The following is an 18948-nucleotide window of genomic DNA, read 5'->3' as shown; positions in this document are numbered from 1 at the left end:
TCGCATTCTTCAATGCTAGCTGAGCTTGACTTTAGCAAGTACCTCAGGCTACCTTGTTCTCTGCTATTCTATTCAAACATTGACTTCTTTATTCAGTTGATCAGCTTCGTTGCTGTTTCTATGACTGCTGCTGGCTCTTTTCCCTTCTTGATTTCTATATATGTTTCTGGGCCCATTGAACCCAGCCTCCATTACCCTCACACCGTGAGACTCAATGTTGGCTTGTTCCTTCTTATGTGAATGATGACTTTCCTGGCAAGATCACGCAAGTCGACTATAAGGTTCTAGTTGCCATCTACATGCATATCTTGTATCAAAGTAAATCACAAATTATATTCTGTCTTTTTTAAAACCTCTGTCAATGATGTCTATGGGTTTGCTACTCAAAATGTAGTCAGAGGTTCAGCAGCATCAGCATGTTGGGAGAGCTTTATGAAGAACCTCAGGCTCCACCCTGGACTTGCTGAATTAGAACCCACATTCATTTTCACAAGATTTCCAAGTGACTTATATGCACATTGGAAAGAAGTGATCCATGGCATATCTTCACCTTCTTGAGGCATTCTCTATTTGCCAGTCAAAATTGGTCTTCCCTTTCCTGCCCTCCTTCTAAGGCAAGGGAAGAAATGGCCAAGGTGACCCTCCTGTCAACCTGGAGTGAATTTATCTCTTCCTCTGAAGATACCGTGGCTTTGATGCCCTTTCTGGCTAGGCAATTTTGATCATGGAAAATAAAAAGATTTCTTTATGCCAAAACTTCTGAGCCTCTCTTTGAATATCCTGGACGGTAAGTGAAAACATCAATAGACAACCCGATGAGCAGGTGCTTGCTTGATTTACTGCTCTCTTCTTGAATCCTTTTGTTAGAACCCAAAGTAGAAAATAAAAACAAAGTGACAAACTCTTTGTTTCAGCTTGCTTCTTTACCATGCTGGACAGCCTGTTCCACCCCAGTGAGAGCTCACTGGCAGGGTAAGACTGAAGGCTACTGAATACTCCATGGTGAGGCAGATGCTGTCTATAAGTCTAAGCCATGAGCCCTCAGAGCACCCACCCTAGAGACTCGTAATAATTTATTATGAGAAATTCCTCATTACCTCTTGATCTTCTGAGGAGTGGAAAATCAAAAAATATGGGTCGTAGACACAGAACAGCTTGGAATGGCTTTGTGACCTTGATTGATTTCTTCACTTGTGTGTGTGTGTGTGTGTGTGTGTGTGTGTGTGTGTGTGTGTGTGGTTTTTTTTTTTCCTTTTCTCTGCACATTTGGAGTTGAATCCTAAGCCTAGGAATTAGACTTCTTGTCCCAACGAGATAGGTAACAGGTGAAGTTCAGGGTGATCTGCTTCCTGTCTGTATTGTAAATCTATAGCCTCATTGTCATGGTCAGAAATAAAGCAGAGGCTAAAGGCCTACTTGTGTGGGAGAAGCAGAAAAGCTGAAGCCCTGTCTGCCTGCCATATTTGCTGGCTAATTAAAATACCTACAGTGGCCAAGCAAGTTATATAAATAAAGGAAGTGGCCCAGGAGTGGTGATAGAGAAGAGTGAGGACTGTGGTGAATGGGACAGCATATGCCTTGTCTAAAGAAGACAGCAGCTAAGGAGAACCAGCAGATTGGTGCCATGTAAGAAGGTAACATATAGCTGCACGATCTGAACTTCTGAGTTCAAGAGAAGCCAGAGTTCTAGGGAATTTCTCTCCCTCCCTCAACCCATGTGAGATAACAAATTATTTGAAAAGTTGTGAAATGTTTTGAATTTTTCTTTAGGTTGAATTTGGCCTGAAAGTCCCAATTTTGACTCCTCGACTATAGCAAATTGAGTAAGGAACTAAACATTGAGCTTATTGGCTGTTGATAACCATTTATTGATAGGGATTTGTCTTGTTCAGAGGCTTTTGATCCAACTCTCTAACTTGGGTTTACTTATGTCTTAAGTAGCACATAACGATTCAACAACAGATATTTTAATGTTCCCTAAAATAGAACTCAGGGTTTTGTTCCAAGAATGGTGCAGAAATGGATCTAGATGTGTATATACTATATTGGATTCTGTCCTTCGCTCTTATGTTTTTTCCTGCAACAATTACTTTAAAATTAAAGAATTTAACCCGACGATATTAATGACACATAGTATTCATACAGATTTGTGGTATTTCTAATTTGAGCATAGGAAAACAGAGTAAACACCACCAGTTGAACAATAATGAGTAAATCTAGTGAACTACTGTGATTCTAAATTTTAGACACTGCTATTTTTCTCCAGTGATAATGTTGACTCATTCTTCCAAAACTCAACAAAAGAAAAGTGTAAGAATGAAGCAGAAGACAAACTTCAACTGAGCGAAAGAAATATTAAAAAGTGAACAATGCCTTCTCTACCCCCGTTCTGTGGCCCGTGCTGCTCTGGGGTCCTATAGCCTGAAGAGGGAAGAAGATAAACAAGAAGATACATATAAATGTGAAAATACTTAAATAATATGGAAAACTCCAAGTTAGTCAGTGAAATCTTGTAAAAGCTTAAGAAAATTCTTCATAATTATTAGCTCAAGGTTTGAAGACTTCCTTGCTTATTAGCTTTAAGGATTCTAACACTAAAATCAACAAATGTCAGCATAAGCAGACCATATTATTTTTTCTTAAATCAAGGGCCAACTAATATCTATTTCGACAACTTTAAATGTCTAAAGTTTTTAATCAAAATCCATTCTTATGGTCTGGATTGTGTCATCTTTTCTGAGGGTTTGGTACGTTTAATTTCCAAAAAGTTTAAAAAAGTTTCTAAGAAATAAAGTCTCCACTAAAAAATGGAACTGAATACTTCATACTGGGAGAGGCTAGGAACCTTTAAGTTTAGAAGCTCTTTAAATTCTTCTCAGCCAGGCAGAACCACCACCCGGCTAAAGCAACCTAGATCTGTGTATTCTTGCTCTGTCTTTATGCCATGTAACTGGCTCTTAGGGGATCTATTGTACTGCCTATCTTATATTGAAAGACTTTTGGTCACCTTGAGCCTGCCTTGTTCTAGAATACTATGTAACTACATGTGACAGCTACACCCCTCCCATAGGCATCCTGAAACAACCAGAAGGCTTTTTGCAACATTTACCATCTTCCTTAGACTTCTGAGCTACTGTATCTCTGCATTTCAGTATTAGATTCCCCTTATTCTAAAGCTCAGACATTATCTAAGTAGCTGGTAATACTTTCTCCAAAATGATATACTTTTAACCTATGCCAAGACTCTCTATAATTGTCAGGACCCATGATTTTTGCCTTCAAATTATTTTGGTTCCAAGGACTTTTAAACAAGTCTGTTTTCACTAAAATCATCTGTCCTTTCTCATTCTAGAAAGTTTCACATCTTGTCCTTCAAACAAGTCGACATCTGTCTCCTTGTAGCTAGCTGGTCAGATAGAATGGATCAGTTATAGAGACGAAAATATGCCTACTACTTTGCTGCTCAAAAAAAAAATAATAACTGGAGTTTCTTCTATGACCAAACTATGAGTTTTGACTACTGTCATTCACTGATGCCAGTCTTAATCAATGCCCTTATGCTTTTACCTGTCTGAGATCCATGATGCTCATGTTTACCTGTAGCTCATCCTCCACTGGACAGAGCCCAATATAAATGAGCCACCTAGTGATTTATTCTTGGAACTCCAGTATGTGAGCACTTAGCACGGCCACCCAGCACTCTCCTCAATTCTGCCTCCTGATATCTTGCTCTCACACTCTATTAGTAACTACTTCCAACCCCAGAGAGTGAGTCCAATAAGAAGCATTACATAAAAGCCATATTTGACATCTACAGAACTCTGTAGGCCATTAGAGCATGGTGAGTGGACATTTGCCTCACACGTGTGAACTCCTGGTGGTCTCTTCTCTCGGCTATTCTGTGAATACCAAGATTATCCTGAGGACAGGAATAAAGAGAAGTCAGAGTTGTATTATTCTCTCAAAAATAACCATGTTATTTTTGTCCTTAGAACTGGAACAGGTCTTTGGGTTGCAGATGTGGGGCTTATAAAAGTAGATCTATATATTCTCAGTACTAGTGGCAGTACGAATTAGTGTACTATATATGCAAAGAAATTTGGCAGTTGTCCATGTAGTAATTCCCTTTCTAGGAATGTGTCATAGGGAAATTATGTTAATGTAAATAAAGGTATCTGTACAAGACTGTTGATTTTATTGGTACTGAAAATCATAAGAAATAGACACCAACCAAATAGAATGGTTACCTTATAGAATTATTCTGTGGAGTATTAGGTACTCATTAAGAATCATGTATTTGGAAAATATTTGGGAAAAATAATCATGTTATTGTAAATAAGGAAGATATAAAAGTAAAGTATGATGCTATCTGTGTAAAATTACACATAGCATTTATTTAACTTTTTTCCTCACAGGTTGTCATTAGGTGATAAGTTGTCACTGTTTTCTTTCTTTTCTACTGTTCTTTTTGAATTGCTTTCAGAATCAGAAAGTAATATGAAAAAGTTATTTGAATGATCTGCTCCCTTATCTTCAGGTCACGTGAACATAGCCTGGCATTGTTGATACGCCAGAGTGTGGGAGAGCTGGCTGTTACGGTGGCTAAAACCTCGTGTACATGGGTTTGATTTAACCTGTCGTCATCATGAATTGTCCTCAGCATGGAACAGTGGGAGTAGTGATGGTAGATGGCATAAAAAAGAGTCCAGGGGGAAGGTTTTAGTTCCGGAACTGTGCTCGTTATCTAAGCATAGTTTCTTCTTTCCCTTCCCTAGTCTTCCTTCCTAAGTCCCTACATAGGAACTACCTCTTGCGAAATGCCCAGGACTTAGTCTGTGGTGAATGATTAGCTGTTGTATGTCAGTTGTTCATGGTAGGGTTATTAGCAAGACCTGAGTGATTTGTTGACATCCCATCAAAGCCAGCTGTGGCTCAGGATGGGGCTCCACATTGCAGGGGATGATTGAACACCTAAAGAGGTGGTTAAGGCAGAAGAACAATTATATAACAAGCTAATTTTTAGGGATCGGTTGCTAATGTATTTAAATGGCCTATTCAATCTTACAATTCTATATTCTGGTTTTACTAACATGCCCCCTATTACCAAGGGGATATGTAAATTTGGTAGGGTTGCTAGATAAAATATAGGACCCCTAGTTATTTGTGCATTTCAGATACACAACAAATAATTTTTAAATATAAGTATGCTCCAAATATTGCATGAGGCATACATATACTGGCAAATTATTCATTGTTTATCTGAAATTCAGATTCAACTGAGTTTCTTTTATCGTTATTTGTTAAATCTACTCTAAACTTTGGGTGACTTATTTTGCTAAGAAGTGGCTGATACAGGGCTTGAAGGTAGTTTTGATGGCGTAAAAAGTGTGTTCTGTTAACCATGTGCCCTGCTGCCCATTTTTCCCAGTTGCGTGCGAGAATTACGCTGAATCTAATGAAGTGCTGACTGACTCATTCAGGATTGTCTGTGGGTCTTTTCATGGTTGTATCTGTTGCTCAGGTTGACAAGTTGAACCTTATCATTTAGGTTTCTATACCCTTGTTTTGTCATCTGTCCTCCCTAACCTTCTCCTTTTAACAACTTTATGCAGATATAATTCATATACCATAAAATTCACCTACTTTAAGTGTACAATTCAATTACTTTTAGGAAAATTGGAGTTGTGCAACCGTAACCACAGCCTCAGAGGCTGGAAAAAAATACCTTAAATGACCCTGCTCATAGTGTAGTAATAAAAAAGGAAGATGGAAAAAGTCACATAATGGCCTTACTAGTCCTTAAAAGCTAATTTTGTTGTAATCCATTGGACTAGGGACTGAGAAGGATCATAGTTCGCAGAGGGAACTGAGACATCAGATCTGATCTTCTACAGGCACCCACAGCCACTTAGGAAGTTGGAGTCCTGGAGAGGAGAACACAGAACGTGGACAACTAGCTGTCAAATTGCAGTAAAAGTTGGTTCAGGAAAAGTGGAAGCTACCCAGATGTCTACCAATTGGTGAGTGCATAAACAAACGTGGTATGTTCACACAATGGTATATTATTCAGCAGTGAAAGGGAGCAAACTACTGACATATGCTGTTCATGGAAAAACCTCAGAAGCATTATTTGAAGTGAAAAAGCCAGGCGCAAGAGGCTACATAGTGCATGATTTTGTTTATTTAAAATGTCCAAAAAAGGTAACTGTAGAGACAGAAAGTAGATTCGTAGTTGCTTAGGGCTGGGGGGTGGGAGGGGTGAATAAATGTAAATGGGTGTGAAGGATCTTACTAAGGGCATGGAAGTGTTCCAAAACCGGATTGTAGTGATGGTTGTTGATATCTCTGTTAACCCATTGGGGCAGAATCTCCTAAGAAAATCATAGACCAAAAGCTTGGCTGTTTAAATACAGATTGCATCTGATTACAATAAAATGCGTCTAATTGTTTTGTGGCAGCAAAATCTGATAGCAACCTTTAAACTGTGGAGTCATTAAGTGACTGTTGTAAGTCTTGTTTGTTACGGTGATTTTCATTAAAGTGATTTCAAAGAGAGCTGGACTTGGAGAAGGCAGTAAACACCTTGGCGTGGGCAGCGTAACTGTGAGTCTGGGTTCAGCCACTGACTGGGTTTGTTGCTACATAGGTCATTTAACTGCACTTAAGCTCAGTTTTCTCCTTAGTAAAGCAATACTTGTAGGCTTTTTGTGAAGAATAAATAATTGATGTATATGAAAGCACACTACGAACTGTAAAACTTATTCAAGAGTGAATGATCTTAATATGGCATAAATTCTGTAATTAGAACCTCCTGATTTCTTAAAAGAACTAAAATGAATAAAAATATGAGCTGTTTTAAAGATAAACTGTTGTGTTTTAAAACATCCCTCTAAGATTCCTAAGATTCCTTTTTGTTTTGCTCAGGAAAGTTTAGTGACTTGCTTTAAAGGTTTGGCCATATTCAAATGCCTGTTGGTTGTGTTAAGTCTTGCTGCTTTCTTAAAGGAAATGTAAGCCAAAGAAAATCAAACATGTGCGCACAATAAAGCACTTAAAACTATTTGTTTTCTGAGATGGACGTTTTCAGAACATGACTACACTGACGTCTGGCAAATCTTAATTTCCATGTTGAAGGAAATTGCCTTAAAGACAAGGCTATAAATGATGACAAATTTGAAGGACATTCGGTGCAAAGCAAGGGATGAGGATTTGCGCAATATGGCATTCATAGAAATAATTTGTATTCATATAATGACTGACTTTTATATTTTGAGGCATTTATAGATTAATTTTCTTTGATTGACAGACAGAGGTGGAGAGATTATATAATTTACTTTTTGATTAAAAAGATGAAGCGTAGTAAAATTTAGCATTTTACTCAACAACCAGTTGGGCACTTCCAGAGAACCTTTTAGACTCCCACACTTAAGACTATTTTCTAGTTGATTGAATCGTGCCTTCTCTTACCATGAGAGTATCCCAAGTGCTTTTTAAAACATGAGTTTTAAAAATTCGGGAACTAATTTTACATATGGGCCACAAAACCTGGAGTTGTGCCAAATGTAAGCCCCAAACTCATCCACTCAGAGGAGGTCATTTTGGGAAGTATGCATCTTGTATAACTTGCATAACTGGTTGGAGATAACCATGGACAAAATGTAGCATAGATATTAAAAGATGGAAAACAAAGTAGATATGTTCTAGAAGAAATTCCAACCTTTATCTAATAGATTTTTCAAAACCAGAAAGAGGTACATAGAGGGAGCAATAGTTGAAGATGAGACTGAAGGACATTCTCAGATAGAAGACGTCCAAATTTGAGCAGGATCCAAAAAATATATCTAGACTTATTTGAATAACGTTTTAGGACATCATAGGTGAAAAGAGAAGCATAGAAGCTACAGGGGTGGGAGTGGAGGGGGAGATATTATCTACAAAGGAAGAAGCAATTGACAATAAATAACAACAAATCTTTGAATCCCAGTGGAATTATATAAAAATCAAGGATGGTTAAAGTTTCTTGTTTGTGGTGGAGGAAGGAATAGGTAATGGTTAACTTAATCTTTGGTAACAAAACATAAATTTAAGTATGTATGTTAACAATTTAAAGGTAATCCCTAAAAGTAAAGAAATAGACTATGGCTTTTAATTGGTAATGGGGAGAAAAACATGAAGAAAAAAATACTATCAATCCAACTGGAGGCAGGAAAATGGAAATAAAAGGCAAACCTGTTAAACAGAAAAGAAATGAAGTGGCAGAATTAAGTTCAAATGTAGTAATTACAAACATGCAAGTGGACTACGATCTTCAGTTAAGAGTCTCAGACTGGAATATAAAATCCAATTACAGTTAGGCACTGCATAATGACATTTCAGTTAATGACCGACCAAATATACATTGTTGGACAAATGAGATTATAATACCATTTTTTACTTTACTTTTCTATGTTTAGATACACAAATACCATTGTATTCCAATTGCCTATAGTATTTAGTACAGTAACATGCTGTACGGGTTTGTAGCCTAGGAGAAATAGGCTCTACCATATAGCCTAGGTGTGTGTAAATATATCTACATTTATGATGTTTGTACAAGAACAAAATTGCCTAACCACTCATGTCTCAGAACATATCTCATTGATAAATGACGCATGACCATATAGACAGTTTACAAGAGAACATCTACAATGTAACAAATATATAATAACTAATCTTAGCCCAAAAGTAGGAAGCTTGAGTTAAAAAGTCAATAAAACATCAAAACACTGATTTAAAATACAACCCTCTCTCCTCAAAATAACTTGAACACCAAAGAATTTTATGTCTAAATTTTACCAAAATGTAAAGGAACAGACATACCCTTCTACAAAATTTGCCATAGAATACATCTAGAGTAGAATTTATAAAACTTATTTTATATGGGTATAACTAATGCCAGTAAGGTCAATTGAAAATTAGAGGTCAGTCTCACTTAAGGACATCGATAAGAAAACTCAAATAAAAAATTGGAAAAATAGCAAAGCTGTAAAAATAAGTGACAGCTTATACCAGCAATACAAGATGTTTAAATACTATTAAGGCTATCAGTGGAATTCACTATGTTAGCAAATGAAAAGAAAACAGATATATACATTTACTCTAATCAATGGCAAAAGGAGAGATACAATTTCAAAACCCATTAGTGATACAATCTCATAGTGAACAGAAATAAAGATTCAGCAAAGATGGTAATTCATGCTGACAAGAAGTATTGCCATTGAGGCTGGATCTGAGACATGATGAAGATGTCTCTGCTTCTCCTACTATTTAATATTGTACGGGAGGTCCTCATAATATGATACAACAGGGAAAAGAAATAAGAAGTATAAAGACTGTAACAGGAAAGAAGGCACAATTTCATTATTTTCAAACCATTTACAGAAAATTCAAGAGGATAAACCTATGCTGTAAAACTAGTAAGAGAGTTCAGTCAGATTTCTTGAGATAGGATTAGCATAAAAAATTACTATTGTGCCCATACACCAGTAGCAACCAATTAAATAGGTAAGAAGTAAGATCCTATTCAGTATAGCAACAACAATACAAACCTAGTAAAACTACACAGCCAATCAAATATATATAATATCTTTAAGGAAAAAATATAAAACTTTGTTAAAAGACAAGAAATATCTAAGTAAATGCAGATACAAGCTACATTATTCAGCTGGAACACTTTTTCCAAATGAATCTATGAATTTATTGTAATACCAAAACTCCCACTGAGATTTTTAATGGAACTGGCCAGATTCTACAATCCTTATAGAATAGTAAATGGGCAGAAAAGACGTGTTTGTAAAAGGAACTTACCAAACGTTAAGACACATTGTTAAGTGGCTATAGTAATGAGCATAGCATGCTGTTGGTGCAGGAAGAGACAGGTAGATCAGAATCAGAATGGAGAACATGGAAACAAATGGAAAATTGTTCCAGGAAGAAAATGACATTAAAAATCAATGAAGAAATGATGAGCCATTCAATAAATCATGTTAGGAAAATGACTTTGACATTAAAAATAGACTGCTTTCTCACACCGTTCACAAAAATTTCCAGATAAATTACATGTTTAGTTTTTTTTTTTTAAAGAACCTTTAAAATATAAGAAATTGTAGTATATCTTTTTTTTTTAAATTGAGGTAGAGCCTCACTGTGTTGTCCAGGCTGCAGTGCAGTGGTGCGATCTCGGCTTACTGCAGCCTCCACCTCCTGGGTTCAAGTGATTCTTGTGCCTCAGCCTCCCAAGTAGCTGGAATGGCAGTTGTGCACCACCACGCCTGGCTAATTGTATTTTTAGTAGAGATGAGGTTTCACCATGTTGCCCAGGCTGGTCTCGAACTCCTGGCCTCAAGTGATCCGCCTGCCTCAGCCTCCCAAAGTGCTGGAATTACAGGCGTGAGCCACCACACCTGGCTGTAGTATAGTATCTTTATGACCATGATGAATGGGAGACTTTAAAAATACAAATCACAAAAAGCACAATATGTAAAAAGAAAACAATATATTTGACTACGTCAATGTAGAGACTTTTGCAAGTCAAAGGACACTACTGTATACAAAATTTAAGGAAAAACAACAGATGGGGAGAAACACTTTTACCATATGTGACAAATAATTAGTATCCAAAAATGCATAAAGAACCCCTATACCTCAATAAGAAGAGAAAAAATATGGAACAGAAAAATGGGCAAAGGTTGCCCAGGCAATTCAGAAAAGAAATCCAAATATTTAATACATTCTGTGAAAAGAAGTTCATCCTGACTATTAACCAGCAAAATGTCATTTCTTCATTCATTGGAATGACCAAACTTTTAAAGTCTGAAAATACTCAGAATATGAGGAAACAGGTCCTCTGATGTACACTGCTGGTGAGCATGTAAAAGAATTGAAAAGGCTTTGGGTGGCAAAAGTTACAAGTGGAATACGTGAACCTTAATGACCTAGAAATTCCACCTTGAGCTACATGCCTTATATGCTCACACTGGTGTACAAGGATGGAATAAAGATGCTCCTTTCAGGCCTATTTGTGCTAATAAAATATTGGAAACAAATGTCTGTTTAAAGAAGAACAGGCCGGGCATGGTGGCTCCTGCCTGTAATCCCAGCACTTTGGGAGGCCGAGGCAGGCGGCTCACTTGAGGCCAGGAGTTCGAGACCAGCCTGGCCAACATGGTGAAACCCACCCCCCTACTAAAAATATAAAAATTAGCCAGGTAATCCCAGCTACTCGGGAGGCTGAGGCAGGAACATCGCTTGAATCTGGGAGGCGGAGGTTGCAGTGAGCCGAGATCACGCCACTGCATTCCAGCCTGGGTGACAGAGAGAGACTCCGTCTCAAAAAAAAAAAAAAAAAAAAAAAAAAAAGAAGAATAAATAAATAAAATGTGGTCTGTTTACAAAATGGCATAACAAACTGCAGTTAAAGGGAAAAGAAGTAGATATCTTTGTGCAATCAATGTGGACAGATGCATACTAGCTCCTGGTAATGCTTGCTCTGTGGAAGGGAAGATGATGGATATAACTGGGGTTGGAGACCCAAGGGGATTGTTTTTTAATCTAAATGTGTGTTTTTTTTTTTTAAAGAGGATATAATGCATATAATTTTGGCGCAGTGAAAATACATATGCTTAGGAAAAAAGAGAATGCAAATTGAAAACTAGATTGAATTTAGAAACTGCTTTTACTTGCTTTGTGTCATTTGAGCTCTACACTGCCTTGAGAAATAGGCACTAGTTGTTTTTCTGTTCCAAATGATAACATGGAAGCTCAGGGTGCACATGACATGGCTAGGGGTTTGTCGTTAAGAGAAGATTCCAGGCTTTCTCTTTTTTCCCTCTAGTGCTTATTTTCCTGAAGTTGAGTCAATTGTTGCCGGTAGTGGAGTTGGGTTTCCTTTGTACTCTCAGCTGTTTTCCATGGTGACCATTGGGTATGTGGGTAGGGCTGTGCTTACAGATGGGAATCAAGTTGAGAGGCCCATGTAAGGACCAGACTTCCAACACCCCTTTCTCATCCACCCGGTTACAGAACAATTGGTGACAAACAGTGGTTGATAAAAGAAACATGCCTGGTTTCCCTTTACACCTTATTTTGTCAGACTTCACAAATTTCAGTATAAATGTGGTAATAATAACTAACATTGGTGAGAGCTGGCAGAGCATACTGGTAGTATTATTTTTAAGAAGCAAGTGCAAGTGCTTAGAGGAAAGAGCAGGGAAAGGAGAGAAGCTGAAGCTTATATTTGTAGATGGTAAAAGAAGCTTAGGAAAAGAGAAGCTAGAGTTTCTGGTTACCATGAGCAACTCTTTAAGTTATACATTTCTCACCTTTGAGCCTGATTTTCCTCAGTAGGAAGTGTAAGTTTCTATCAATAAAGGAAATAGTTCTGGAAAGATTCTGCACTTATCAAAGTGTATAGTATTGTAGGCAAAATTATAGCTATGAAAGAATTTTAAGAAATTTTATAGTGCATTTAAAATAAAAATAATTTTGACTAATACGTTTTCTATAATTATACATTGTTTTAAAGAAGAACTTTGAACTTTTTTGAATTGAAAGAAAAAGGGCAGAATCTAGTGGATTTAGAGTCTGGTAAAATTTCAATGGACTCTCTCTCTCTCTCTCTACATATATATATACATATGTTATATTCTCCCTTCTTTGTGAATAAGGCATATATTTTCTCTCAAGGGGTTTGCACTATTAACCTATAAAAATTATTAGACCCAAGAAAGCATTTTAGAGAAAAAATAAATATTGGTATATGAGCTTCTTATAAGTGTCTTAATGAAAGATTTTTCATCCGTAACGTTTGGCAAGGGGAAGTGGCCAGAAATTCACTTTGAAATGAAAGAAAAATTTGCCAGCTCTGAGTTTTATTAAATATAATTTTATTTCAATCTAAGTGACCACTTATGACACATGGAAAAAATGATATATAATCTGTATCATGAGCCAAGACTTGTCAATGAATAATACATGGCACCTTATGAATTTAAAAAGTTATATTTAATAAAAAGAATATAAAAATTTATTTTACAGTGCAGATAACTACTGTATTAGTATCCCACACAAAGTGATTAAAAATATGCCATCTCATGAATACAGTAATGAAAAGTGAGAGAAAAATTGTAAGACATAACCTGGTATAATAATTTGTTCAACAACCTCAAGAACATTCAAATTTTTCATTTAGTTGTTTAAAATTATTCACAAACAAGGGATATTGAAGTACATAATGCATGTGAAGTATCTGAGAGGGGAAGTTAGTTTTTGCTAACTCATTTGTTAAGATACATTAATTAATTCAATTAACTTTTGTTTTGAGTAGCAATTCTGTTCCTGGGGTGAAGCTGGAGGGCATAAGTGAACAAGATAGAGTCCCGTGAGGAGCTGAAAACCTAGCAGGGAAAATTTTTTATAGATACAAGCGATCATAATTCATTGTGATAAATACATATCCTATGGCTTCCCCATTTAAAAGCAAAATAAGCAAAAGTCAACTTTGAAGCATCCATTGTACTTAAAAAGTCCTACTTTCCTTAGATTGGCTTTCCAGACCCTTCTCATAAATCTCTCTCTTCTGAGGTTCTTCTCCAACACCCCACCCTCTCTCCCATGGCTCCTCCCTTTGCTCTGGAGGGAAACACTGTATCTGCCAAGGCTATTTGCTGTATAGCTCCAGGACTAGGATGAGGCAAGTGAAGTGCCCAAGACTCACCATTTTAAAAGTGTTTGCTCTGAGGTGCTGACGATTCTGGGCCAGTTGAACTAGCACAACCTGGAAGCATGTGCCTCTTTTATTTATTTATTTTTTTGGAGACAGGGTCTCACTCTGTCCCCTAGACTGGAGTTCAATGGTGTGATCATAGCTCACTGCAGCCTCGAATTCCTGGGCTCAAGCGATCTTACTGCCTTAGACTCCCAAGTGGCTAGGACTATAGGTGTGCACCACCGTGACTCTTTTTTGTTTTTTACATTTTTTTCAACTTTTATTTTAAGTTCAGGGGTGCATGTACAGGATTTGCAGGTTTGTTACACAGGTAAGTGTGTGCCATGGTGGTTTGTTGCACAGATCATCCCATCACCTAGGTATTAAGCCCAGTGTCCATTAACTATTATTCCTGATGCTCTCCCTCCTCCCACACTCCCTTCTGACAGGCCACAGTGTGTGTTGTTCCCCACCATGGGTCCATGTGTTTTCATCATTCAGCTCCCACTTATAAGTGAGAACATATGGTGTTTGGTTTTCTGTTCCTGCGTTAGTTTGCTGAGGATAATGGCTTCCAACTCCATCCATGTCCTTGCAAAGGACATGATTTGGTTCCTTTTTACGGCTGCATAGTATTAAATGGTTTATATGTACCACATTTTATTTATCCAGTCTATCATTGATGGGCATTTAGGTTGATTCCATGTCTTTGCTATTGTGAATAGTGCTGCAATGAACATATGCGTGCATGTATCTTTACAATAGAATGATTTATATTACTTTGGGTATATACGCAGTAATGGAATCGCTGGGTCAGATGGTATTTCTGCCTCTGGGTCTTTGAGGAATTGCCACACTGTCTTCCACAATGATTGAACTACTCTACACTCCCACCAAGAGTGTAAAAGCTTTCCTTTTTCTCTGCAACCTTGCCAGCGTCTGTTATTTCTTAACTTTTAATAATAGCCATTCTGACTGGCATGAGATGGTAGCTCAATGTGGTTTAGATGTGCATTTCTCTAATGATTAGTGATGTTGAGCTTTTTTTTCATGTTTGTTGGCTGCATGTATGTTTTCTTTTGAGAAGTGTCTGTTCCTGTCCTTTGCCCACTTTTTAATGGGGTTGTTTGTTTTTTCCTTGTAAATTTAAGTTTCTTGTAGACTCTGGATATTAGACCTTTGTCAGATGGATAGATTGCAAAGATTTTCTCTGATTCTGTAGGTTGTCTCTTCACTCTGATGCTGTGCAGAAGCTGTTTAGTTTAATTAGATCCTATCTGTCAACTTTTGCTTTTGTTGCAGTTGCTTTTGGTGTTTTCATCATGAAATCTTTGCCCGTGTCTGTGTCCGGAATGATAGTGTCTAGATTTTCTTCTAGGGTTTTTACAGTTTTGGGTTTTACATTTCAGTCTTTAATTCATCTTGAGTTATTTTTTCTATATTGTGTAAGGAAGGGGTCCAGTTTCAATTTTCTGCATATGGCTAGCCAGTTCTCACAGCACCATTTATTAAATAGGGAGTCCTTTCCTCACTGCTTGTTTTCGTCCGGTTTGTCAAAGATCAGATGGTTGTAGGTGTGCGGTCTTATTTCCGAGTTTTCTATTCTGTACCATTGGTCTATGTGTCTGTTCTCATACCAGTACCATGCTGTTTTGGTTACTGTAGCCTTGTAATATAGTTTGAAGTTGGGTAGCATGGTGCCTGCAGCTTTGTTCTTTTTGCTTAGGATTGTCTTGGCTATTCAGGCTCTTTTTGGCTCCATATGAATTTTGAATTCTTTTTTCTAATTATGTGAAGAATGTTAATGGTAGTTTAACGGGAATAGTATTGAATCTATAAATTACTTTGGGCAGTATGGCAATTTTCATGATATTGATTCTTCCTCTCCATGAGCATGGAATGGTTCTCCATTTGTTTATGTCCTCTCTGATTTCTTTGAGCAGTGGTTTGTAGTTCTACATGAAGTCCTTCACTTCCCTTGTTAGCTGTATTGCTAGGTACTTTATTCTCTTTGTAGCAATTGTGAATGGCAGTTCATTCATGATTTGGCTCCCTGCTTGTCTGGTGTTGATATATAGGAATGCTAGTGATTTTTGCACATTGATTTTGTACTCTGAGACTTTGCTAAAGTTACTTATCAGCTTAAGAAGCTTTTGCGCTGAGATGATGGGGTTTTCTAGATATAGTATCATGTCTTCTGCAAACAAAGATAATTTGACTTCCTCTCTTCCTATTTGAATACCTTTATTTCTTTATCTTGCCTGATTGCCCTGGCCAGAACTTCCAATACTATGTTGAATAGGAGTTGTGAGAGAGGGTATCCTTGTCTTGTGCTGCTTTTCAAGGGAAATGCTTCCAGCTTTTGCCCATTCGGTATGATATTGGCTGTGAGTTTGTCATATATGGCTCTTATTATTTTGATGTGTGCTCCTTCAATACCTAGTTTATTGAGGGTTTTTAACTTGAAGGGATACTGAATTTTATTGATGGCCTTTTCTGCATCTATTGAGATAATCATGTGATTTTTGTCTTTGGTTCTGTTTATGTGATGAATTACGTTTATTGGTTAGTATATGTTGAACCAACCTTGCATCCCAGAGATGAAGCCAATTTGGTCATTGTGGGTAAGCTTTTTGATGTGCTGCTGGATTTGGTCTGCCAGTATTTTTGAGGATTTTTGCATCAATATTAATCAAGGATATTGTCCTGAAGCTTTCTTTTTTTGTTGTATCTCTGCCAGGTTTTGGTATCAGGATGATGCTGACCTCATAGAATGAGTTAGGGAGGAGTCTCTTCTTTTCAATTTTTTGTAATAGTTTCAGTAGAAATGGTACCAGCTCTTCTTTGTACCTCTGGTAGAACTCAGTTGTGAATTCGTCTGGTCCTGGGCTTTTCTTGGTTATAGGCTATTTATTACTGCCTCAATTTCAGAGCTCATTATTGGTCTGTTCAGGGATTCAATTTCTTCCTGGTTCAGTCTTGGGAGGGTGTATGTGTCCAGGAATTTATCCATTTGTTCTAGATTTTCTAGTTTATGTGTATATAAGTGTTTGTGGTATTGTCTGATGGTTGTTTGTATTCCTGTGGGGTCAGTGGTGATATCCCCCTTATCATTTCTGATTGTGTTTATTTGATTCTTCTCTCTTTTCTTCTTTATTACTCTAGCTTGCAGTCTATCTTTTTAATTAAATTTTTCAAAAAACCAGCTCCTGGATTCGTTTATTTTTTTTTTTAAGAGTTTTTCGTGTCTCTCTTGCCTTCAGTTCCACTCCGATCTTGGTTATTTCTTGTCTTCTGCTAGTTTGGGGGTTTGTTTGCTCTTAGTTCTCTAGTTCTTTCAGTTGTGATGCTAGGGTGTCAATATGAGATCTTTTTAGCTTTTTGATGTGGGCATTTAGTGTTATAAATTTCTCTCTTAACACTGCTTTAGCTGCATCCCAGAGATTCTGGTACATTGTCTCTTTGTTCTCATTAGTTTCAAAGAACTTCTTGATGTCCACCTTAATTTAATTATTTACCCAAGAGTCATTCAAAAGCAGCTTGTTCAATTTCCATGTAGTTGTGTGGTTTTGAGTGAATTTCTTAATCTTGAATTCTAATTTGATTGCACTGTGGTCTGAGAGACTGTTTGTTATGATTTCAGTTCTTTTGTATTTGTTAAGGAGTGTTTTACTTTCAATTATGTGATCAATTTTAGAGTAAGTGCTATGTGGCGATGAGAAGAATGCATATTCTATTGTTTTGGGGTGGAGAATTCTGTAGATATCTATCAGGTCCACTTGATCCAGAGCTGAGTTCAGGTCCTGAATGTCTGTTAATTTGCTGTCTTGATGATCTGTCTAATATTGTCAGTGGGGTGTTAAAGTGTCCCACTATTATCATGTAGGAGTCTAAGTCTCTGCAGGTTTCTTTTTTTTTCTTTTTTCTTTCTTTTTTCTTTTTTTTTTTTTTTTTTTGATACAGAGTTTTTGCTCTTGTCACCCAGGCTGGAGTGCAGTGGCATGATCTTGGCTCACTACAACCACTGCTTCCTGGGTTCAAGTGATTCTTCTGCCTCAGCCTCCCGAGTAGCTGGGACTACAGGCACCCGCCACCACGCCCAGCTAATTTTTGTATTTTTAGTAGAGACAGGATTTCACCATGTTGGCTGGGATGGTCTCAATCTCCTGAACTTCTGATTCGCCCACCTCGGCCTCCCAAAGTGCTGCGATTACAGGCATGAGCCACCATGCCCGGCCTGTCTCCGTAGGTTTCAAAGAACTTGCTTTATGAATCTGACTGCTCCTGTATTGAGTGTATATATATTTAGGATAGTTAGCTCTTCTTATTGAATTGAACCCTTTACTATTATGTAGTGCCCTTCTTTGTCTTTTTTGATCCTTGTTGGTTTTAAGTCTGTTTTGTCAGAAACTAAGATTGCAACTCCTGCTTTTTTCTGTTTTCTATTTGCTTGGTAAATTTTCATCCATCCCTTTATTTTGAGCCTATTTGTGTCTTTGCACGTGAAATGGGTCTTTTGAAGACAGCATGTCAATGGGTCTTGGCTCATTATCCAGCTTGCCATTCTGTGTCCTTTAATTGGGGTGTTTAGCCCATTTACATTTAAGGTTCGTATTGTTATGTGTGAATTTGATCCTGTCATCATGATGCTAGCTAGTTATTTTGCAGACTTGTTTCTCTGGTTGCTTCATAGTGTCACTGGTCTGTGTACTTTGGTGTGCTTTTTTAGTGGCTTGTAACAGTTTTTCCTTTCCATATTTAGTGCTTCTTTCAGGAGCTCTTGCAAAGCAGGCCTGGTAGTGACAAATTCCTTCCATTTGCTTGTCTGAAAAGGATCTTATTTCTCCTTCACTTATGAAGCTTAGTTTGGCCAGATATGAAATTCTGAGTTGGAAATTATTTTCCTTAGGAATATTGAGTATTGACCCCCAATCTCTTCTGGATTGTAGGGTTTCTGCTGAGAGGCCCACTGTTAGTCCAATGTGTTTCCTTTGTAGGTGACCTGGGCTTTCTCTCTGGCTGCCCTTAATATTTTTTCATTCATTTCAGCCTTGGAAAATCTGATGATAAAGTGTCTTGGAGTTGACTGTCTCATGGAGTATCTTATTGGGGTTCTCTGCAGTTCCTGAATTTGAATGTTGGCCTGTCTTGCTAGATTGGGAAAGTTCTCCTCGATGATATCCTGAGGTATGTTTTACAACCTG

The 18948-nt window shown here is 37.4% G+C and overlaps 1 long non-coding RNA gene across 1 annotated transcript in view; it reads left to right on the top strand.

Moving 5' to 3' along the window:
* PTCHD1-AS (PTCHD1 and PHEX antisense RNA) overlaps positions 1-18948 on the top strand; it is a 1100142-nt gene that overhangs the window by 17076 nt on the left and 1064118 nt on the right. Inside the window, exon 2 of the long non-coding RNA NR_073010.2 lies at positions 5895-6020. This is a non-coding gene — a long non-coding RNA (PTCHD1 and PHEX antisense RNA). The remainder of the gene's footprint in view (positions 1-5894; positions 6021-18948) is intronic.

This window comes from Homo sapiens, chromosome X (assembly GCF_000001405.40).
Source record: "Homo sapiens chromosome X, GRCh38.p14 Primary Assembly".
NCBI classification, from domain to species: Eukaryota; Metazoa; Chordata; class Mammalia; order Primates; family Hominidae; genus Homo; species Homo sapiens.
The sequence above is the reverse complement of the archived record's forward strand: the minus strand, read 5'-3'. Positions and strand labels throughout refer to the sequence as shown.